The sequence below is a fragment of the Homo sapiens genome, chromosome 9 (genome assembly GCF_000001405.40).
Source record: "Homo sapiens chromosome 9, GRCh38.p14 Primary Assembly".
Taxonomy (NCBI): Eukaryota; Metazoa; Chordata; class Mammalia; order Primates; family Hominidae; genus Homo; species Homo sapiens.
The window spans coordinates 67,776,601-67,802,363 of NC_000009.12; the positions used below are offsets into that span (position 1 = coordinate 67,776,601).

At 34.2% G+C, this 25,763-nt stretch overlaps 2 pseudogenes; one reads left to right on the plus strand and one right to left on the minus strand.

Moving 5' to 3' along the window:
- RN7SL787P (RNA, 7SL, cytoplasmic 787, pseudogene) lies at positions 14,899-15,182 on the minus strand (annotated as a pseudogene).
- Positions 20,487-20,581, plus strand: LOC124900280 (uncharacterized; annotated as a pseudogene).
- Positions 20,582-25,763: the final 5,182 nt, after the last annotated feature.

Sequence of the window (25,763 nt, forward strand, 5' to 3'; positions counted from 1 at the left end):
CCCACATATACTCAAGTTTCCCAGTTGGCCCTGTGGAACCTGTTTATAGGAAAAGGCAACCCTACAGAAAACACCGCACTTTTTATTGAGTTTGGTTGAAAAAATAATATGCATATAAGTGGACCTGCGTAGTGTACACATGTGTTCAAGGGTCAACTGTAGCTGAAAGCAAACCACATTTAGTTTATACATATATTTTAGAGAGAATATTTGTGAAGTGTTTTATTTTTTTAAAAAAAAGCTAACTAAAGAACTAAAAGAACCAAAAGCAAACCAAAATATAAAAAATAAACATTTTTCTAGCTCTGCAATGTAAGACATTTACTTTAAATTATTCAAATGTAGCTAAATAGGAATCTAATTTAAAGTTTATGCTATTTTTGAAGTAAGAAACATGCTGTGTCATTTATGAAACTAGAAATATATGATTGAAAAAGAGTCTACATAGTGAGAGAACTTGACCATAATCTTTGAAAGTAAAATCAAACGAAAGCTTATGTAAAAAGTGTGATCAATAGGCTTTAATTTTTAAAATATGATAATAAAATAAGAGATATTGAATGTTGCTAAAATTTTTAAATATGTTATGATAACAGCATACATGGAATATTATACATTTATTCAAATTATGTTTTAAAAATAATGACATAAACATACTTCTTATACATTATGATTGAAATGCTGAGGTTTTATTTAATACATAACCAATAAAGCTAAGAAACCCTTAAAAATCAAGATGTACTCCTTAAATAAAATATTGAGTGAGTACTTATAAGGCAATAAGTTTTGTAAAATATGCTAAAAATTTTTAAAAATTCTCTACATATTCGAGTCATACTTGAAGATACTGTGGGTTTTGTTCCAGACCATCACAATAAAGCAAAAATCACAATAAAACAAGTCAACAAAAATTTTTGGTTTCTCAATGCATATAAAAGTTATGTTTACATTGTACTGTAAAGGGTGTAATAGTATTATGTTTAAACAAATAATGTACTTACCTTAATTTTAAAAAGCTTTATTGCTAAGTAATGTTAATCATCTGAGCCTTCAGTGAGTCATAATGTTTTGGTTGCTGGAGGGTCTTGCCTCAGTACTGGTGGTTGCTGACTGATCAGGGTTGTGATTGCTAAAGGCTGGGGTGGCTGTGGGAATTTCTTTTTCTTTTTTTTTTTTTTTTGAGTCAGAGTCTCACTCCGTCGCCCAGTCTGGAGTGCAATGGCACCATCTCGGCTCACTGTAACCTCCACCTCCCAGGTTCAAGCAATTCCCCTCCCTCAGCCTACCAAGTAGCCAGGATTGCAGGTGCCTGCCACCACACCCAGCTAATTTTTGCATTTTTAGTAGATATGGGGTTTCATTTTGGCCAGGCTGGTCTCCAACTCCTGACCTCAGGTGATCTGCTCTCCTTGACCTCCCAAAGTGCTGGGATTACAGGTGTGAGCCGCCGTGCACAGAGTTTCATAAGACAGCAATGAAGTATGCTGCATTGAATGACTCTTTCATGAAAGACTTCTCTGTAGCATAGGATATCATTTGATAGTACTTATCCACAGTAGAACTTCATTCAAAATTAGAGGCAATCCTTTCAAGCCCTGCCATTGCTCTATCAATTACATTTAGGGACTATTCTAAATCCTCATTGTTATTTCAATAATGTTCACAGTATCTTCACCAGGAATAGATTCCATCTCAAGAAACCACTTTCTTTGTTCATCTATAAGAAGCAACTGCTCATCTGTTAGTTATATTACAAGATTGCAGCAATTCAGTGACATCTTTAGGCTCCACTTTTAATCCTAGTTCTCTTGCTATTTCCATTACATCTGCAATTACTTTCTCCTCTGAAGTCTTGAACCCCTCAAAGTCATCCATGAGGGTTGGAAGCAACTTGTTCTAAACTCCTACTAATGTTGATACTTTAGCTTTCTTCCATGAATCACAAATGTTCCTAATAGTATCTAGAATGGTGGATCTTTTCCAGAAGATTTTTCAGATCCATCAGAGGAATCACTATCTATGACACCTACAACCTTACAAAATGTATATATTAAGTTATAAGACCTGAAAGTCAAAATTGCTTCTTGATCCATGAGCTACAGAATTGGTGTTGTGTTAGGTTGCATGAAACAACATTAATGTCCTTGTATATGTTCATCAGAGCTCTTGGGTGACCACGTACATTGTCCACAAGCAGTAATATTTGAAAGAGAATCTTTTATTTGGATCAGTATGTCTCAACAGTGGGCTTAAAGTATTCAGTAAACCATGCTATAAACAGGTGTTCTGTCATAAAGGCTTTGTTGCTTCATTTATAGAGACAAGCAGAGTAGATTTGGCATAATTCTTATTAGCCTTAGGATTTTCAAATGGTAAATAAGCATTGGCTTCAACTGAAAGTCACTAGCTGCACTAACCCCTAACAAGAGTGTCAGTCTGTCATTTGAAGCTTTGAAGCCAGGCATTGACTTCTCCCCTCTAGCTATGAAAGGCTTAGATGAAATCTTCTTTCAATATAAAACTGTTCTGTCTACATTGAAAATCTGTTGTTTAGCGTAGTCACATTCATCAATTATTTTAGCTAAATTTTCTAAATAATTTGCTGAAGGTTTTTCATCAGCAGTTACTGTTTCACTTTCCACTTTTATGTTGTTAAGATGGCTCCTTTCCCTCTACCTTAAGAACCAACCTTTGTCAGCTTCCAACTTTTCTTCTGCAGTTTTCTCTTACCTCTCTCAGCCTTCATAGAATTGAAGAACATTAGAGCTTTGGTCTAGATTGCGTCTTGGCTGAAGATAATGTTGTAGCTGATTTGACTTTCTGGCCAAACCACTAAAACATTCCAAGTCTCAGCAATAAGGCTGTTTCTCTTTCTTATTGTTCCTGTGTTCACTGGAGTCGCAGTTTTGATTTCCTTCAAGAATTTTTTCTTTGCATTCACAACTTGGCTAACTGTTAAAAACAAGAGTTCTAGCTTTAGATCTAAGTTGGCTTTTGACATGTCTTCCTTGCCAGGCTTAAGTATTTCCGGCTTTTGATTTAAAATAACACACATGAAAGTCTTTCTTACACTTGAACACTTAGAGCCTATTATAAGGTTATTAACTGGCCTAATTTCACTATTGTTGTGTCTCACAAATTGGAGTCGCTAAGAGAGGGAGAGAGACAGGGAAGTTCTGTTCAGTGGAGTAGTCAGAAGACACACAATATGTATTGATTAAGTTGCTATCTCTTAAAGGTATGGTTTGTGGTTTCTCCCCATATTACAGTAGCAACATCAAAGATCACTGAATACAGATCACCATAACAGATATAATAATAGTGAAAAAGCTTGCAATATTGTGAGAATCACCAAAATGTGACACGGAGACATGGAGTGAGCACATGCTGTAAACAAAGTGGCTCTAGTAGACTTCCTCAATGCAGGCTTGCCACAAACCTTCAATTTGTGAAAAAGGCAGTATGTGAAGTGCAATATAGCAAAGGTATATGTAAGGTACCAGTACATCACCATGATAGACCCAAACTTTATACCAGGCACTACCGAAAGAGTAAAATTAGCACAACAGTTAGCATAGACAACATGACAACTTTTGTAGGGCCATAGTATAGTTTCAGATATTGTTCACATTCTCTGCAACAAAAGAAGTTAAGATACATTACAGAAAGGAGAATATGAAAGCAGTATTAGTAAAAGGGAATATCCCAACAATAGGAAAGCACCCCATTTGGATATTTACAAAAATTCTAAAAATTATCTTGTGAAAATGTGAAATCCATATTTTAAAGGTCTTCGAAAAAGAGAAAAATAGACTAAAATTTTATTAATTAAAGTAAATATTAACTCCAATAAATGAGGAGAATTAGAATGCATTAAGGTGTTTTAAAATTATAAAACTTACTAAAGTAATTTGGAAAAAAATGTGTATCGATAACACTCATTTAAGAAAACATGGTCACGATTTAGTCAAATCTCATCTTTTGTCCCTTGTTTTTGTTTTTAAAAGTTGTAATAATAATTGATATTTACTCAATATCTTCATATATTGAGTAAAACCATATACCAAACAAAAATTGCATCCTTTATATAAGTAGAGAAATTAGACTTAAAATAAATAACAAGTGAGAGACCATGGTGCCAACCTAGTTTGTCATTTTTCTTTAGAAAATCCTAAGTTATTTGTTGTCAAAATTATCAATATTTTATATTTTGTTGCTCTTGCAAGTAAAGCATTTCTAATTAAAGACCTTAGGGCTTCACATATCCTTCAGATAGCTGGTAAAATGCTGCTTTTTGCTAGAAGCCTTCTCCGCCCTTTCTATATAACAGCAACCTCTCTTCTCAGTTTCTTGTCATCTCCAGTACACCTTCTAGCTGCTTTTCTAATTTTATTTTTCCCAAGCACAACTTAGCACTTTACTGGAAGTCATCTGTTTTCTGCTTCACAAAGCAAGGACTTGTCTCCGTTGTGCCCAGCTCTAGCCTCAGGGCCTAGAAAAGTACTCAGCGTGTAATGTGCACCAATTACATGTATATTGGATTAATATTTAAATGTGTATATACTTAGCTGTGAATAAATAGCATCAATATTCGTTTTTTAAATGTTAAAAATATAAAGTGTATAGCCTTCAAAAGTACACTGTACATAAATAATTTGAAGGTGATGAAGAGGACCCTGAAACAGGAATGGATTCCTAATTCCTAGCAGGGATTTAATGGCCATCACGGAGCAGCCAGATGTTATAAGATAAGGATATAAGATCTGAGAGGCATGGCAGGTAAGAATAGAGCTAACATACATTTTACTTAAAATTTTTGAATTGGCTATATTGAAAAAAGTTTAACACATGTTACCACAGCAAACACTCTAAAAACTCTCTACTAAGAATTTTGGCTTAGACCAAGGCCAACATTGCTCTGGACATAAAATGGCCTTTTATACATGATGATGATATTTTCAAAACTAAGTAAGTTAAGTACATTATTTAAAAGATTTTAGTCCTGTTTTACCTGTTATTTCACTACTAAAGGATTTTTCTACTCTGAGTTCACTTTATCATTCTTTTTTCAGAATTTTATCTGTGCTTATTTTAAATAAACATGAAAATTACTACCATTTAAGATAAATATCCTTTTATCTTTCAATTATTTTTCCAGAGCAGTGCTTTAAGTATTCATATAATTATGAGAGTTTCTAAAATTTTACATATTTTATAACAGTTCATTCTGTGTGAGTTTTCTTTTAATTTTTATAAGAAATATCTTGAGAACAGTGATACATAATATATTATGCAAAACCTGAAAAAAATAGTAAGTTATTTCCAGCATCAAAGGTCATTTATTCTTCTGAGAGCCTAGTGACCTTTAAGTTAATTTCCTATTTTATGGATTTTTATAAATTACTTAGTATGTGGGTTATGTGTACAGAAAGCACACCACGTAACTTTAAATTGTTCTCAAATCATTTTGTAAGTCATCAGATAAGTAGCTACTTAAGTAATCTATATATTTGTAATAAATATTTGTGTAGAAATAATAGAATGAGGAAGTCCTTCTTCATAACTTTGAATAAAACACTATTTCTCCAGTTAACCTGGAGGGCAAATAAACCTTTTAAAAATATAACAGAAAAGTTCGATAAGAGCACAAAGTGTGTATTAAGTAAATGTTACAAAGGATAAATGGAAGTGAAATACCTGGATTATCCTTACTGAGAATTCAACACCTATAAATGAATTATAAGTGAAATCACAACTATCACAAACTTTGCTCCATCTCATTTTGGAATTGTAACAGCCTCAAGGGCATAATAACTTTCAAAAGACGGTCACTGAGTGCCAACTATATGCCAGCCCATATGCTAGGTACGGACTGCTAGGTTTTTTTCTTACTAATTAGAATCACTTAACTGCTTGAAAATGTGCATTGGTGGTAAACCTATTATCAGCCCTTACTCTATCTTTAAAATTTTAAGTTAAATTTTTGATTTAATGTAGAATCATTTTATACACACACACACACACGCCACACACCGAAACATATAACTATTTTTCTTGAAATATCAAAATACCACAAAAGCATTATGATTTTGTTTTCCTAAAATGTTTTAGTGTAAATGACAGTTAGATCTGTAGTCTGATTGCCTTAAAAAGTTGTTTCATCTCTCTGAACTTGAATTATTATTATTATTATTTTTTGAGATGGAGTCTCGCTCTGTAGCCCAGGCTGGAGTGCAGTAGCACGATCTCGGCTCACTGCCAGCTCCACTTCCCAGGTTCACGCCATTCTCCTGCCTCAGCCTCCCGAGTAGCTGGGACTACAGGTGCCCACCACCACGCCCGGCTAATTTTTTGTATTTTTAATAGAGACGGGATTTCACCATGTTAGCCAGGATGGTCTCGATCTCCTGACCCAGTGATCTAACCCCCTTGGCCTCCCAAAGTGCTGGGATTACAGGTGTGAGCCCGAACCCTGAACTTGAATTTTTTAATCTGTAAAATGACATGATAATATTAATATGCTGATCAAAGTTTGTTTGCTCTCAGATCAATTTCCTCAGCAGTTTTCTTGTATTTTTTCACTGTAACAGAAATCTGCATTTCCCATGCTTCCTTGTCATCTAGTCTTTGGGTAGATTCAGGCAAGGGAAGGCAAAAGCCAAAGATTGAAGGACAGGAAAAGGCAAGGAGAAGGGCCACTTCTGTTTTTGTTTGTTTGTTTTCTCTGCTTCTAATGACACCTACATCAGAGGTCATATTTCTCCCTGGTCCCATTTCTCACCAGCAGTAATTCTACTGTGAAATGGCTCATTACTGGATCTCTGGAACTTTAGTTTCTCCCATTGACCTTACTATCATGAGGAAAGGATTAGTTCTCTGCTAGTGCTAATACTTTCATCACTATTCCTTGCTTTGTTTCTTAGTTATTTTCACCCTGATGTTACCTGCTCCACATAATAAAATCAGATTGTTTGTAAGTCCTAGACTAGTTTCTGCCTTGCTGGCTATATCCTCAATGAAGAGCAAATATTTACCTCATGGGAGAAATAGACCTAATGGATTTAGGAGTTTAGCAGTTTACAGGGCACAAATTAAATCTCAATAAATATTTACTCTGAGTAAAAAAGTACAAAATAGAAGTACAATTCTTTTTTATTGTCACTGATTTCAGAGCAAAATGAATCAACAGTTGACAAATTAAGGATTAACTTATGCAAGATTATTCAACAAATATTTATTATTCATTTGCTCTATGCCAGAAATGTGTCTTCATGCCAGGTTAAGAAAAAGAGAAAACAGAAAAAAAATAGCTGTCCCTGACTAAAAGAGCTTACGTTCTTTCTTTTTGGGCGAGAAAGGCAGTGAAAAATTAAAAAAAGAAACGCAGTATTAACATGCGGATAAGTTCTAGGGTGAAATTTGAATGCAGATCCGAGTGACTGTCTGCCTCTCAAAAGAATTCTGCTGAGATGTCTAGAAGTAAGTAGAGTAGCAAGCAAATATCTACAGCGCGTGTCTCTTTCAAAGACAGAAAAACAAAGTGGTTTTTAAGGTGGGTGAATCTTGGCATTTCCAAGAAATACCAGGAGGCTCTTAAGGATAGAATGACCAAAACAATGAGGGCTGTGATAAAATAAATTGGGGGAGGTATGGAGAAGGATCCCATATTGTTGCTTTCACAAACAATGACAAGGTTTTGGGTTTTACTTTGAGAAGGGGAACAATTAGAAAGCTATGAGCAAGACTGTGAAATTATTTGATTTATGTTTTATAATCATTCTGACTCCTGGCTGAAAAACAGCCTCTAGGAATGAAAGTGAGAGAAATAGGGTCATCATTTATGAAGCTATTCCAATGATCCAGTGCTTTGGCAGTTGCCTGGACATGGCTAGTAAGAGGTAAAAGTAATCTGATACATCTTAAAGGCAGGTGTTCATGGATTTGATATGGCAAATGAAAGAAAGAAACCACTATGTGTTATATTCCTTGAGCCAAAATTGAGGTGTAAAATAAACATGCTCACATAAATGGTTGATTATGTTCTTAAATGAAGGAGAAAATAGTTGCAGTGATGTTAAGTCATCAACCATTTAAAATGTTGCTTTTGAAAGAGATGAATCAAGGAAGGGATGGACATGAATTTTCCTTACCTAAAAAGCTAGTGAAAATTAAGAGTGACATGAACAGGATTAAAACTTTATTTTATAGTGGTACTGAGATGAAACATCACACTATCTGACTTCATAGCTTAAAAATATAATCACCCCACCAACTTCTCACTCTTTTCAAGGATTTTGTGAGTAACCAGCTTTAATTTGGAAAACCTAGACTTCTACATACAGATTGTTATGTTTGTGAGTATGATTATTTCTATCATTTTGTTTTACATTGTGCTTTATCATTCAATAATTAATATCTATCATTTTCCATTAACTAATTTATTTTATGACCATTTATTATTATTATTACCCTATGGTAGTCAATAATTACTGATACATATTCCATTGTTTTTTGGGATTTGATATAGAATCAGAGAAGTTTGTTGCCAACTCCTTTTTAGTTGAATATATATTGTTTTTGTCTTATATTTAGTTTTTGTAAAACTTCAGATTTTCCATCTTGCCCCACTATTTATTGCTAAAAATCATATCCAAATATGACAAGGTTTAGGAACACACACAGTTAATGAACACATGTTAAAGTATAATAACACAGAATACATTTTTGAAAGTAAGTTTATTAAAATTAGAAATATATTTCTAGTTATATGCATAAGGATATACCAACATGGATTTTGCCTGCCCAATATTAATTTTCTCTTAATTTCTTACTTACAGAACTTCAATTTGGTCATGAGTCTAAGCCCCAAATTATGTTTGCTGTCGTATACTCATGACAGCTCTTTTTCTTGATTTTTCTAGCCTTTATCCATTTGGAAATGTGAACCACCTTTTATAGGTGAGATACAGTATAGCTGAACACTTCTCTAAAGGTTTCTGTAAAAAAGCATAAATGTACAAGCCTATCATCCCGATTCTATTTAGTTTGCCTTGAATATGAATGTGATAAATGAAGTAAGATCTCACATCTTGCAACATGAAATGGGAGAAGGGTCAACATAGAAGAAATGTCAGAAGAAATGAACCAATAGAAAATTCCTCATTTGCTAAATTTTGTTAAAAGAAAAAAATAGATTTTAATATTAATCTGATCTACACAGGCAAATGTTAACTGCAATGAAAATGTCTTTTAGATAATTCAGAACACTTTCCATCTTTGGTAAAAGTATTCATTTTACTGACTCACTATTATATATTTTGTTAAGTTAGAAACTCATATTCAATCAAAGGAAATAAAAGTTCCCCCTAATTTCTAGGAATATAAAAAAATAGGTACACATAGCTTAGATAATATTTTCTATATTTGTTCAAGTAAATCAGTTTAGTAATTGTTTGAAATACTTCCAATTGATATGAGTCCAATTTTAGAAGGAATTTTAGTTGGAAGTGTTATTCTCTTTATGAAGATGTAAATGGCTCTGTTTACTGGCCAATATTTACATACACATACAGTCAATGAATGTTAATTTGCACACAGTGGCATATATAATTCAAAGTTCATTTTATTAGTTAATTTAGATATGGTTCAATGAGAGTTTCAAACTGAGGGCATAGAGTCATATAACATACTCTAGAAGAACAACTCACAAAAACTAAAATAAATTGCTTTACCATGTTTGCCTTTGTATTTCACTTTTTGTGTTCTGAAGAATAAGCATGGTAAAATTTACATATATCTAACGCATATAATGGGCAATGTATGAATTATTTTACAAATTACTCATAACCAGAAGAGTTCTGTTGGATTTTACCATATGGCCAGATTCATCTTGCCTTTCAAACTTATGTAAGTAATTTTTCCAAATCTCTTTTTTTCCCATAACATACATGCTGCTGAGTCCACTCCTCCAAACTAAGTAAAGATAGGAATGCTCATGGCCAAATCATAAGTATAGAAAGTGACTTTTGAACTGATGAAGACTTTCTTCTTGTCTACGCTTTAGTCAGGCTTCTAGGAACACTCTTTTTGACTCTACTTTGTCCTTGGGCCCTGTCTTTACACTGCCTAGTCCAGCTGTTGCAAGAATGCTGCTAAGTCAGTTTAGAGAGAATCTCCCACTCTTGATATCTGATCACTCTGGCTTGCCTTCAGCAAGAATCCTCTTACGTTAGCTAACAAGAAATCCCCTACCCTTGATGTCTCCTCTTAGTAATTTGTATTCATTGACAACTTTTCACTCTGCTCATTAGCTGCACTTCCCAGATATCTTTGCTGTGTTCAGAGTTGAACCTTATCTCTCTTGCCTGTTAGAATCATCTTGACACCTATCATTTTAATCTTAAATAAAGTGATCCTTAACCATTTTAACAAGTGTTGGAAATTTTTTTATTTAGCAGAACTAACAAATTGTTTGCGAACTATTGAAATAGAACTATTCTATTATGGCCTGCAGATATTTTTCTCAATTATAATTCACTTTCATACTGTAAAAGTATCTTTGCTTTGTGTATATCTTTTTCATATAAAAACTTTTAATTTGGCAGGGAATAGTGGCTCATGCCTGTAATCCCAGAACTTTGGGAGGCCCAGACGAGTGGATCATGTAGGTCAGGAGTTGAGACCAGCCTGGCCAACATGGCAAAACCCCATCTCTACTAAAAGTACAAAAATTATCCGGGCATGGTTGTGGGCACCTGTATTCTCAGGTACTTGGGAGACTGAGGCAGCAGAATCGCTTGAACCCAGGAAGCAGAGGTTGCAGTGAGCCAAGATCAGGCTGCTGCACTCTAGCCTGAGTGATAGAGTGAGTGAGACTCTGTCTCAAAAAACAAAAAACAAAAAAACCTTTCGATTTATTTTCCAGAGGTCTATTTTTAATTTAGTAACAAGATTTTAAAAAATATTTATAAAATTAAATAACAATAGAATGTTAGAACTAGGCCCTATAAAATATAAAATTGTCAAAATTGGTTAGCATGATTGTAGCTTGAAGGATCCTATTGTTAATGTGGCAACTTCTGAAACCAAACATCATCATGCTTAGCATCAAGAGCTAAAGTAGTCATGAGTTAATGGAGAAGAACAACTAAGGAATTGGCTGCCGAAGTAAAGTTTATGCTAAATTTAAATGAAATGAAATAACAAAGTAGTTTGAAATGAACATTCCATTGATTATTTTTAAAATTTTATTTATTAACAAAGTAGCTTATACTAACTGCCCACTGTCTATCCCAATAGTTACAGCAATAACATATAGTTAACATTTGTAATTAAATATTTCATTTCATACAAATAGTATTTTAAAATTCAAGTGTTGATTTTTAAGCCTTTGAATGTTTGGCTGTTTAAAATTTAAGTGCATATAAAAATTGTAGAAAAGGGTCATTATTAATAAAATATTCAAAATATGGTAAATTTTGCATGATGATTTAATATATGCAAATTGACAAGTGATGTGAATAGTACATTTGAATAGAGAAAATATGTACATAAATGAATGGTATTTCAGAATCTAAGCAAATTGATGACTACATTATGTACTTGTCCCCAATGTAAATGAAATATTAATTAGAAAACTTTTTTTTTTCACTAAAGGGCTGAACATAAAGTGTGATGGCAAATTGGTGTGTTCTTGTATTTCTTGTCTTTGGGGATTCTTTTCAGTATATTTTCACTTAATGTTTTAGCAACATTTTTCGTCATCCTTTTACACTTATAGCTGGACTATGCTTAGTGATAGAAAATAGTTATATAATGGGATTATACTTGGCCATATGAATTTGATGGTATGAGTTAATCTGTGTTTCATCTTACTTGTGTCTACTTGTAAGTCATTGATGCTAATGTTATTAGTAATTTTTAGAGGGTAGAAATGTTTTCTATATGACATTTTTGAGAAAAGGAAGTCAATAAATTCCATTTGATATGCAACAGAAATAAAGATCTCTTATTTCAATTTTAAAATGCTTTATAACTTACATTGCTTTGTTTTATGCATTATTTGTTTTGATCAGATGCAAAATGAGTCAGTAATGTCATCTAACCACAAGTTTGATACATTTTTTTAAAGAAAAATTTCCAAAATACTTTAACTGAGCAATAGGCTAATACTTCATAAATTAAAATATTTAAATATTCAATCTTTCTGAGTGGATATTTGTTGCATATCTGATAACTTGGCCTAATTCTGTAATTGGGATGAGAACTACCCAATTTTATTGGTAACCTCTTTTCTGCTCTGCAACTTTGGAAATACTATGGAGGACTCCAAATTCATTTGAGACAAAAATATTAAAAATGTATCCCCTGATTAGGATTTCAGTTCCAAAGCTCTCCTTGGAGGGATATAGAGCTGGAGAAAATCACATTTATTTTTCGTCTCTTTAATATTGATATATAAAAGTCAGGTTAAAATTAGTATCAAATTGGGAAGCCTGCACGGTAAACCGGCTGGAATAATACACTCTGCAATATGAAGGAAAAAGGAAAAATTTAGTTGATTTATTTACCTAACTATAATTTTTTAAAGAATTTTAAGTTTCTAATAAATTTAACTATAAATTTTTAATTTTCTATCTTTCATTTAGTACCATCTATATAAACTTTTCCAGGCTACTTCTCTGAATCACCTGGCAAAATCTTATAATTTACCACCTAATTGAATAAAACACACACACAAAATAATCTATTTTGAATAATAAACATCATTTATAATTATCTTGTTGAGATTGAGAGTAATCATCAGGTGTGGAAAAACTATTGAGGAAATTTTAACAATTTAAAATGTAATAATCTTTTTTGTATTATGTGTGTTTTATACTCAGAAGTGCATATGTTTTATAAAATTATGTGAATTTATAAATGTGGTCAATATTAATATTAAATTGTATCTTTTAATAGTATCTTCAATTATCTTTTTTTTTGCTGCTGGATTCCATTTAGAAAAAAAAATGTTCTGTATAGCAGTGTTGCTTTCTTTTTCTTTTCTTTTTGCTTTTCTTTCTTTTTTCTATTGATAAAGTATTTACTTGATCTTGGGGAAGAGGTATATAATCAAGTGACCACATTTTTCTTTGTTACATATTATTAAAAATTTATAATCAATCTTTCCAAATTGTAATCGGTCTGAAACCCATTTGCTTTACTCAAATTATTTAGTGACTATAAAAGTTTCAGAAACATATGAAAGTTACAAATTAGCTTTAAATGTGTCATGTTTAAAGCAGTTGTTTTAAAAGCTAAGTCATTATCCATTATTATGTAACTAGTATTCTAAATATCACATCTTTGCATTGTTTGACTTTTAAGGCATATGAAATGTTTTGGATCAGAGAAATCATTTGCTTCACATCCCTAAGAGACAGACTCTATGGGTACTGAGTCATGCTAACAGTGGCAAAACCTGACAAACAATAAGCATCATTTTCAAATATTTTAAACATTTCACATAAAAATTTACTTTTAGCATACATTGCAGCCATCGAGGAAGCCTAAAGTAAGGAAAACCTCAGTGAAATATGATGAAGTTAATAAAAAGAAATAGCCATCATTTTATTTGTTTAAATTGCCATTATCTCTCATATAATTATGTACAATATATAACATAGGATAATTAAGTCAAACTGTGTACCTACAGATATGGAGAGCCTTATATTTTAGGAAAAAGTAAAATGTAAATTAACTGGTAAAGATGAGCTTTTCAATCTATAAGGCATAGACACTTTTCCTTGGTGGATTTGAAAAGGTTCTTAGAAATCTGAAAATAAGATAGTTTTTCTATAATAAATGGTAAAAAACACTTTCACATCTTAACCTTATCATAGTATCACAATGCTGGAATGTTTTTACTGGGAAATAAGTAAGCTAATTCAATTATAAATTGCAGTAGAGGAAAGGATGAAGGTTAAAAAACACTATCTATTCAAATCCTTAGTCATGAGGTTGAATTCATTGAATCAGAGTGTGAATATATATCTATATTTGAGACAGAATGTGTATGTATGTGTGTGAGTGTGAGTGTGTGTGTACAGTCATTAGACATTTGCCTCATGGACAGTGGAGGAAAACATTTGCTGAGCTGCTTTCCTACCTTAAAGATTTACAACTGCACTGTTTTCAAGATATACTTTTTATATCTCAAATAATTTAATATATTATGTTTAGTTGTTGATATAACAAGATATCTGAATACCCCATAATTGAAATTATACCTGGAAATAAATACTTGAAATACTTGCTTCAGTGACATTTGTGGAAGTATACTTATTTAAGTTCAAATTATAGGTATATTGAACAAAATGATATTGGATTCTTCACTGGCTGCATACTTCTGAAACTTGTAAATAATTTGAAATTAGTTTCCAAGAACAGAAAGACAAATATTAGATAGGAAATACCAAATTCTTAAGATTCATACATATAAAAGTGAAATAAAAATCAAACTTAATCTTATCATGAATTTTCTACTGTGGCTTACTTTTAGAACTTGTTATAAAAATAGAAATGCTATTAATTTAATTACATTTATTAAAATCTAAAAATAGGTGATTATAGCTAGGACATTGACAAGTGTAACTATACATGAGTAAATATAACTGAGGATAGCAACACATGAAATATATCATAAAATTGAATTATTCTATAAATAGTATTAAGTCTGTATTACTTGGAACTTGATTCCACTTAGAATGTCCCTGCTTTTATTTATTTATTTATTTTTGTAAACAAAATGAGCAAGAGGTTATTACACTTCATTCACTGCGAAAAGGTAACACTACATCAAAGATAACTCACATACTTGCAGAAATATGGAAGGTAGTTCTTTCTTTTTTTTTGTTAAGAAATAGGGTCTCACTATGTTGCCCAGGTTGTAGTGCAGTGACTATTCAAAGGGGTCATCCCACTACTGATAAGCAGAGGAGTTTTATTCTGCTCAATTTTTGAGTTGACCACTCCTTAGGCAACCTGGTGGTCCTCTGCTCCCTGGAAGCTAACATATTGATGCCAAACTTAGTGCAGACACTTCCTCAGCATAGTGCATACAACCCAGAACTCCTGGGCTCAAGTGTTCCTCCCGCCTCAGCATCCTGAGTAGCTGGGACAACAGGTGTGTGTCACCTGGCTGAAAGGTATTTTTAAATACAAATGTTGTCCAGGAGTGACAGAAGCTGGAGAATTGGACTACTTGATGGAGGCTTTGTACAAGCTTTGAACAATAATAACAACAAAATTGAAATGCCAAAAATATTGTTTAGCAGTTAACCACCAATAAAAGGAAGCCAGCCATTTCACACAGAGGATTTTGTTAATTGATTGCGTGATTCAAGGAAATAATATTATTAGGTGTGTATTAGTCCATTATTGCATTGCTATAAAGAAATACCTGAGATTGGGTAATTTATAAAGAAAAGAGGTTTAACTGACTCACAGTTCTGCATGCTGTACAGAAAGAATGTTGCATCTGCTGGGCATGTGGGGAGGCCTCATGAAATGTATAACCATGGTGGGAAAATGAAGAGGGAGCCGGTGCTTCATATAGCTGGGAGCAGGAAGAAAAGTGAGAGGTGAGGAGGTGCTACACCCTTTTAACAACCAGATTTCATAATAACTCACTCACTCACTATCATAAGAATAGCACCAAGGAAATGGTATTAAACCATTAAAAAGAAACCACTCCACAATCCAATAACCTCCCATCAGGCCCCACCTCCAACACTGGGTATTTCAATTTGACATGAGATTTGGTTGGGGACATAGATCCAAACCATATTATTTTGCCCTAGTCCCTCCCAAATTTTGTCTTTCTCAGTTTGCAAAATATAATCATGCCTTCCCATCAGTCCCTCAAAGTCTTAACTCACTTCAGCATTAACTCAAACATCCAAAGTCTGAAGTCTTATCTGAGATGAGGCAAGCCCCTTCTGCCTAAGACCCTGTAAAATTAAAAAAAAAAAAAAAAAAACTCCCAAGATATAATGTATAATGGGGGTACAGGGATTGGGTAAATACTCCCATTTCAAAAGGGAGAAATTGGCCAAAAGTAAGGGGCTACGGGCCCCATGCAAGTCTGAAACCCAGTAGGAAAGTTATTAAGTCTTAAAGCTTAACAATCTCCTTTGACGCCATCCAGGGCATACCACTGCAAGGGGTGAGCTCCCAAAGCCTTGTGCTGCTCCACTCCTGTGACTTTGCAGGGTTCAGCTCCTACAGCTGCTCTCAAGGGCTGGTGTTGAGTGCTTGCACCATTTCCAGGCACACGGTACAAGTGCTGGTGGATCTACCATTCTGGGGTCTGGAAGATAGTGTCCCTCTTCTCATAGTTCCCCTAGATAGTGGTCTAGTAGGGACACTGTGTGGTGGCTCCAACCCCACCTTTCCCCTCTTCAGTGCCCTCGTAGAGATTCTCCATCAGGGCTCTGACCCTGCAGCAGATTTCTGACTGTACATCTAGGTTTGTTCATACATTCTCTGAAATCTAGCCTCAACTCTTGTACTCTGTGCACCCTCAGGCTTAATGCCACATGGAAGCCATCAAGACTTATGGCTTGAACCCTCTGGAGCAGCATCCTGAGCTGTACCTGGGCCACTTGGAGCCATGGCTAGAGCTGCAACAGATGAGATGCATGTAGTAGTGTCCCATTCTTCCTTCGTTGTCCTCTGAGCCTGTGATGGGAGGAGCTGCCACAAAGGTCTCTGAAATGCCCTGGAGGGTATCCCTCATTTTCTTGGCTATCAGCATGTGCCTTCCTTTTAGTTAAGCAAGTTTCTGCAGCTTGCTTGAATTTCTCTCCTGAAAATGGGCTTTTTGTTCTACCACATGGCCAGGCTGCAAATTTTTCAAGTTTCTACACTCTGCTTCCCTTCTAAATATAAGTTTCAGTTTGAGGTCATTTCTTTGCTCACACACATCACAATAGTTTGTCAGAAGTAGTGAGCTTACCTCCTGAATGCTTTGCTGCTTAGAAATTTTTTCCACCAGATACCCACCAGAACTTGAGATACTCTCAAGTTCAAAATTCCACAGATCCCTAGGGCAGGCCCACAGTGCAGCCAACCTTTTTGCTAATGCCTAACTAAAGTGAACTTTGCTCCAGTTCCCATTAAGTTCCTTATCTCCATCTGAGACCTCCTCAGCCTGGACTTCATTGTGAGTCTCTATCAGTAGCTTGGTCACAACAATGTAACAAGACTCTAGTAAGTTCAAAACTTGCCCTCATCTTCCTGTCTTCTTCTGATCTCTCCAAACCCTTCCAATCTCTGCCCACTATCCAGTTTCAAAGCCACTTTCACATTTTCCGGTATGTTTACAACAATATCATATTCCTCTACCAATTTTCTATATTAGTCCTTTCTTACATTGCTCTAAAGAAATACCTGAGACTGGGTAATTTATAAAGAAAAGCAGTTTAATTGGCTCATGGTTCTGCACGTTATACAGAAAGCATGATGCATCTGCTGGGCTTCTGCGGGGGCATCAGTAAGCTAACAATCATGGCAGAAGGTGAAGGGGGAGCCAGCACTTCACATGGCTGGAAGCAGGAAGAAGAGTGAGAGGTGGGGAGGTGCTATACACTTTTAACAACCAGACTCACAATAACTCACTCACTGTCACAAGAACAGCACCAAGGAGATGGTGCTAAACCATTTAAGAGAAACCGCCCGATGATCCAATTGCCTCCCAACAGGCCCCACCTCCAACAGTGGGACTTACAGTTTGACATGAGATTTGGGTGGGGACACAGATCCAAATGATATCAATGTGTTAAAAGGAAAAGGAGATAGCAGTGGGAAATGGATATTTAACTTCAGTTTATGAGTTTTTATTTTAGAGTTCTAAAATTATGTCTTATACTGCCTATACAAGTGCTAGAATAGTTTCTGTATTAAGTGGTAGATATTAATATCCAAATATCATACTTACCTTCTTTGACCTTGCAGTTTAAGACGGCATTTTAAGAAAGTAAACAAACACATTGATTTTTTTTTAAAGGAGACATTTTTCAGTAAAGGATATAAGTATGTTAACATGAGAGATATAGAAAAATTACAGATGGACAGACAATCCTACATAGAAACCTAAGGAAGCATTTAACTCAGACACAGAGATTGAGAAGAGTAAAGTGGGTGAAATCTGGGAAAGAATGCTTCCAGTAGAAGAAACAGAATATTGAAGGAACAGAGATTGATGTCAAGAGTTCAGGGAAACAAACCAGAATAAGAATGTTTAGACAAAAGGCTGATGGTAGAAGGATATTGAGACTGAAAGTTATAGAGAGCACAGGCTTACTCGAAAATTAGTAGACAAAAGAACATCTGTAAGTTCAATCATGAAGGAGTGCCAGAATTAAAGAGAAAATAAGGAAATAATAAAGGGAATCTTTTGATGTGAGGAACCAATTGGGCTACCAACTCAGCCTGCCAGCCTGCCATTCCAGTGACAGTAGGAAATAAATGTTCTGTAAGTTATTTGGAAATTAGAGGACAAAGTAATTGTTTGTTCTATAGGTAGAGAAACATTTTTGTAAATGATAATACAGCTGTTCTACCGATTTCTCTTAATTTTCAAAATTTTTGAAGGGGTACACTATATTTTCATGATTTGTTCATTCTGATTTCCAACTCATATTTGTTCATCATTTTCTCTTTACTTTTTAAAAAGTTGAAAGACATTCGTGTCACAAAATTTTCACAGGATAATTTTTCTAGTTGCAACTGTAGATTTATGTGGATATATACAAGTCTCTCTAGTGACACATCTAAAGATTAATGTTATGTTCTGTTCCATAGGGAGCAAATATACCACATGAAACATCGCAACTATGAATCCAACTAGACTGTATGGGAAACATATATTGAAAAATAAATTAAAATTATAAGTTCTATGAGAAAACACAAACATTTGAGTAAAAAAATGAGAAAGGTTTAGTGGTGACTTCTTCCCATGTTAGAAAAAAGGATTCATAATGAACAACTTTTTTTTCATGTATTTCCTACAATTGAGTAAAATAATAGGACTAGGTAAGTTTACTGGTTTGCATTTTTTCATCTGGGTCTGGTTTTCCATTTCAATTGTTAGCCATTGTATTAACTACTTTCACCATTCAAAGGAATGAATGATCTGCCATAGTATTTTCTGCAGTTCCATCTCTTGTTTTCAGTATCATTCCAATTCTGCATCTATCTAATTTTGATCTCTGTTCTATTTATTTTCCTGATTCATAACATTTTGCTTTGTGCTGAGCTCCTAATTGTCTCTCTGTCATTCTCAACATTTTAGCCCTATGGTCTAAAAGATGCCCAAAAGAATGTAGCATATTCTAGTATATCAGTGGGACAACATAAACAACTTGCTTAATTGTTAATCTATTTAAAAGTGAAACAGTGTTTTTCATTTTTTCAATCAATTTAATGCTGACTAGATCCTATAACTACATTCTACTTTTTATAACTAAAGAACTCCAGAAAAATAAATGTAATAGCTTTGCTGGAAAAGATTAACCTTACAATGCCTTCCTAATGCCCTTACTTTTTTTTTTTTTTTGAAAAGTGTTTTCTGGTACACAAAAATAATATTCTGAAATATCTCTCTGATATTTGATTGCCGGATTTAACCTACATACCTCTGAACCTTGGTTTTTCAGACATGCAAACTGCTTAACAAGTTCCAATGCATTAATCAATGCACCATTGCATAACTTACAGTAAGAAAAGTTGGTAGATATTTCAGCAATGCCATAAAATATGCTTCCATTTAACACTTTGAGACAACCAATACACTATTTATATTATTGAGACAAAACAAACCTAAGATCACAGAAAAATATTTATTTTAATAGAATGGTATTTAAGTAGATAGTTTTTTTGTTGTGTTTTTGTTTGTTTGTTTGTTTGTTTGTTTTTGAGATGGAGTCTCCCTCTGTCGCCCAGGTTGGAGTTCAGTGGCCCAGTCTTGGCTCACTGTAACCTCCCCTTCCCAAGTTCAAGCAGTTCTCCCTGCCTCAGCCTCCTGAGTAGCTGAAATTACAGGCATGCACCACCACGCCTGTTTAATTTTTGTGTTTTTAGTAAAGATGGGATGTCACTATGTTGGCCAGGCTCGTCTTGAAATCCTGACTCCTGACCTCAGGTGATCTGCCCACCTTGGCCTCCCAAAGTGTAAGTAGATAGTCTAAATGATTATGGGTTTTAATAGGTTTTGTTAATTTGTTTTAGTTGACATACAAGAGCACTACAAAACCACATTATTTTATTTTAATTTTTATCAGTAAACTTCATTATATTAAAGGCCATATTGCCCACTGAATATGATTTTGATAAGCACAACTTCTATAATTTACAACTTACTGTATATGGTCTAATATAAATTACATTTAGCTATCTTGAATAAAAGATATGAATCCCCAAAAACTTAATATATAAAATAATTTCTACAATCAATTAAGCCACATGGGGCCTGGTGTGCAAGGGCTGCAAACAGCATCATCCTAGGTAGTGTACAGCAGCCTGTTCCTTGCGTACAACAGCCTTTGCCATTGGACATTTATGTCTTGGATCTAGTGCTTTCCCTAGTCTAGGTTTAAGACCGGATGTAGTATGCCTTTGGAAAGCCTCAGGACCCAGAGGTCAGAGTTCACATTGGCCATGTTCATCCATACCAAGCTGCAAACCCTGGAGCATGTGACTGAGGCCTTATTTAGGGCCAAATTCAAGTTCAGTGAATGCCCAAAAAGCCACATCTCAAAGAAGTGCGATTTTACTAAGTTTAATGCATATACATTTTAAGACTTGGTGGCTGAGAAACAACTCATCCTGGATGGCTGTGGGGCCAAATATAGCCCTGGAATCATGGGCCCCTGGACAAGCAGCTAGCCCTGCATTAGAAAAGAGCTGTCCCCTCTTTACGCATGCCCACCAGTGAATTCTATTTCCTGTACATCTAATAAATCAATCTATCTATCTATCTATCTATCTATCTATCTATCTATCTATCTAAATAATTCAATAATATGCAGTAGATTAAAAAAATAAACACAACTTGATGTCTAACTACTGTGGATATATTTTGTCATTTATTAACATTCCCCTTTCAGGTTAATATCAAGTCAACAAAAATTTGGAGTTCTCTTGACCCTTTCCCCAATGTGTAAATTAGTAATATAATGTCAATATTCAGACAGGCAAATAAACTAAGCTCCCTTTGATGAAAACGACATGCAGTAACGCTTCCCTACTGAGAATCATCTTAGTTTGTGAAATCATAATCTGGAATGGCTATATCTGCAAAATACATTAAAAGAAAGAAAATATGAAAAACATAATCTACAATACTTTTATGTATATCTAATCATTTTATATTTCTTTTTTATTATACTACTTGAAATACATACATAAAGGATAAAGAGTTTCAACAAATCTCAAAAAGGAAACCTAATTATGTATAATATTCTGACTGATTTTGTTTGCTTACCAAATTGAAATTGAAAAGAAAAAATACAGCACTCTATAAAAAAATAAAATGATTTCAAAATATAATTATTGTCTCCCTTTGAAAATATAAATGTTTAAATAATGGTGAAATAGAGAACATAAACATTCACAAATATTACATATCCATTCAACATTTTCAGGTATTATTTTGTTTTGTTCAAACCTCCCCTTCTGTCATTTTTCTCTCCTTTCTTTATCTTTAGCATAACTGAGCTGCTTTCCAAACATCTATAGTTATACCGGACATAGCATTTTCCAACATCAAACATGGTTTTTCTTAAACACCAGTTCCAAATATTAATTCCCAGGGAAAATGACATTTTCCATATATGAGAAATATTGGAACCAATATAACAAAACTCATTAACATTTATAACATTTGAAAATAATTTCACAAAAGTTTTATTTAAAAAAATTTTATTGTAAATTTATGTAAGAAATTCTCTATCCATTATATGACTTGTATAACATCCACAGTATACTAAGAAAATATTTTTAAAATATAGGATAAGGTGTCTAAGTAATAAATTTTTAAGACTGCTTAGAGCCACTATTAAAAATCTGAGAATAAGGCATGAATATTTTTTTTTTTTTTTTTTTTTTTTTGAGACGGAGTCTCGCTCTGTCGCCCAGGCTGGAGTGCAGTGGCGCGACCTCGGCTCACTGCAAGCTCCGCCTCCCGGGTTCACGCCATTCTCCTGCCTCAGCCTCCCGAGTAGCCGGGACCACAGGCGCCCGCCACCACGCCCGGCTAATTTTTTGTATTTTTAGTAGAGGCGGGGTTTCACCGCGTTAGCCAGGATGGTCTCGATCTCCTGACCTCATGATCCGCCCGCCTCTGCCTCCCAAAGTGCTGGGATTACAGGCGTGAGCCACCGCGCCCGGCCGAATATTTTTTGATCTATAGAGATTATATATCGGCATGCTGGCATTGGCTTTTATTACAGAATAAGCATTTTAATCTTCATTCACTCTCATCAATTCATTATAGAAACCAGCTTAAAAAAAAAGACCACCACTTGTAGAAAACAGTTAATATTTCGATGGTTTACCTGGAAGTTTACTGGGCATAAATTTATAAAATACATTTATGGATGGAAATAAACTGTTTTACTAAACAATATTACAGAATTCTGAATAGATGCTGATTAAGCAGCAAATGAACAAAACTGTTTATTTACCAGTTTGGTGGCTATGATGCTAATTAGATCATCTGTTTAAAATGTGTCCATATGGACAATTTTTCTGTAAATGTTTTCTTTATCTCCACATTGTGTGGTAGTATTTTCATAGAACCAAGTAGAAATTAACTTAAAAACTAGTTATTTAAAGATGACAATAGAAGGTTTTGAACTTTGAGTTCCAAAAGGCAAGCAAATATTTCTGAAATAAAATATATTATATATATTTAATTTCTAATTTAATTTACATATAAAATATTTTTAAAATTCCTGTGAATTTGAGATATTTTCACATTGATTGGACTGTTTTTGTACCTCATTTTGCTTGGTCACACTAAAGTGAGATTCATCATCTTGTGGCACCAAAGGAAAACTAGTGTGATTATAAGGAAATTATTACAGTTAGACAACTGTGCATTAATTTCATCATTAAGGACCAAACATGTATACAGATATAAATACTTTTCTCAATACATTACTTGCAACATATGCACAATTATGTAACAATTATGGTGAACTAAGTCTCCTAGAAATTTCCAAAATATTTTTTTTGCCTTTTTTTAACCTCTAAATCCATATAAATCAAGGGAAAATATTCTTGCACATATGTATATTTAAACATGAACCTAACCAAAAGTAAGAGAAATTTGAAAAAGTATAACATATCAAAATGTGGAAATTTCTGTGTTTAGGGAAAAATCTATCCCATTAAGAGCTTGCATTAGAAAAGAAAAATTACCTTGAAATTATGATGAAAGCTTCCAACTTGTTATTATAAAAATGAGAACAAATTAATTCTGAAGCAATCAGAAAGAAGAAAATAATAAAGGTTAATGAAGAAATAAACAACATTAAATGGAGAAAAATTATATAGCTAAGTAAATTAAACTAAATTTAGATCTTTGAAGGGATCAATAAAATTGTTAAATCTCTGGCCAGACTATGGAGAAAATAATAGGAAATAAATAATTTACAAATTTTAAGAATGACAGAAGTGGCTGGGGGTGGTGGCTCATGCCTGTGATCCCAGCACTTTGGGAGGCCGAGGCAGGCGGATCGTTTGAGGTCAGGAGTTCCAGACCAGCCTGGCCAACATAGTGAAGCCCTGTCTCTACTAAAAATACAAAAATTAGCCGAGCGTGATGGCGCATGCCTGTATTCCCAGCTACTCGGGAGGCTGAGGCACAAGAATTGCTTGAAGCTGGGAGGTGGAATTTGCAGTGAGTAGAGATGAGGCCACTGCACTCAAGCCCGGGCGACAGAACGGGACTCTGTCTCAAAACAAATAAACAACAAAAAAAGAATGATAGAAGTAACATTTCCATTGTCCTACAACAGTTTAAGGATAACTAAATGAATACCATGATGAAATTTATAAATGTAAATTAGTTAATTTAGATTAAGTGTATAAATCCCTCAAAAGATACAAACTAAGGCAAACTCAAAAAGAAAGCAATAAAATGCACATCCCTATATATCTGTTTTAAATTTATTAATACCCACCTAGATAAACGAACTGACAAATTTTACTAATATTTAAGGAGATATAATTTATACATTACACAAAAGTTTAAGAAATAAAAAAGAGGAAACACTTTTCTTTTTTTTTTTTTAATAAGAGGTTGCTTTGTACTTTTTTTTTTATTATACTTTAAGTTTTAGGGTACATGTGCACATTGTGCAGGTTAGTTACATATGTATACATGTGCCATGCTGGTGCGCTGCACCCACTAACTCGTCATCTAGAATTAGGTTTATCTCCCAATGCTATCCCTCCCCACTCCCCCCACCCCACAACAGTCCCCAGAGTGTGATATTCCCCTTCCTGTGTCCATGTGATCTCATTGTTCAATTCCCACCTATGAGTGAGAATATGCGGTGTTTGGTTTTTTGTTCTTGCGATAGTTTACTGAGAATGATGATTTCTAATTTCATCCATGTTCCTACAAAGGACATGAACTCATCATTTTTTATGGCTGCATAGTATTCCATGGTGTATATGTGTCACATTTTCTTAATCCAGTCTATCATTGTTGGACATTTGGGTTGGTTCCAAGTCTTTGCTATTGTGAATAATGCCGCAATAAACATACATGTGCATGTGTCTTTATAGCAGCATGATTTATAGTCCTTTGGGTATATACCCAGTAATGGGATGGCTGGGTCAAATGGCATTTCCAGTTCTAGATCCCTGAGGAATCGCCACACTGACTTCCACAATGGTTGAACTAGTTTACAGTCCCACCAACAGTGTAAAAGTGTTCCTATTTCTCCACATCCTCTCCAGCACCTGTTGTTTCCTGACTTTTTAATGATCGCCATTCTAACTGGTGTGAGATGGTATCTCATTGTGGTTTTGATTTGCATTTCTCTGATGGCCAGTGATGATGAGCATTTGGTACAAGGAGGAACTGGTACCATTCCTTCTGAAACTATTCCAATCAATAGAAAAAGAGGGAATCCTCCCTAACTCTTTTTATGAGGCCAGCATCATTCTGATACCAAAGCTGGGCAGAGACCCAATAAAAAAAGAGAATTTTAGACCAATATCCTTGATGAACATTGATGCAAAAATCCTCAATAAAATACTGGCAAAACGAATCCAGCAGCACATCAGAAAGCTTATTCACCATGATCAAGTGGGCTTCATCCCTGGGATGCAAGGCTGGTTCAATATACACAAAGCAATAAATGTAATCCAGCATATAAACAGAGCCAAAGACAAAAACCACACGATTATCTCAATAGATGCAGAAAAAGCCTTTGACAAAATTCAACAACCCTTCATGCTAAAAACTCTCAATAAATTAGGTATTGATGGGACGTATTTCAAATTAATAAGAGGAAACACTTTTCAACATGTTTTATGAGTCTACCGTTATCCCCATACCAAAACCATAAAACAGACATTACAAGAAAATGTCCTGTAGACAAATATGTATTTTGATGATGAATTTAGATTTCAAAAACTTCAGCAAAATATTATCCAATTAAATCCTCTCATGTCTGTGTGTGTGTGTGTGTGCATGCACGTGT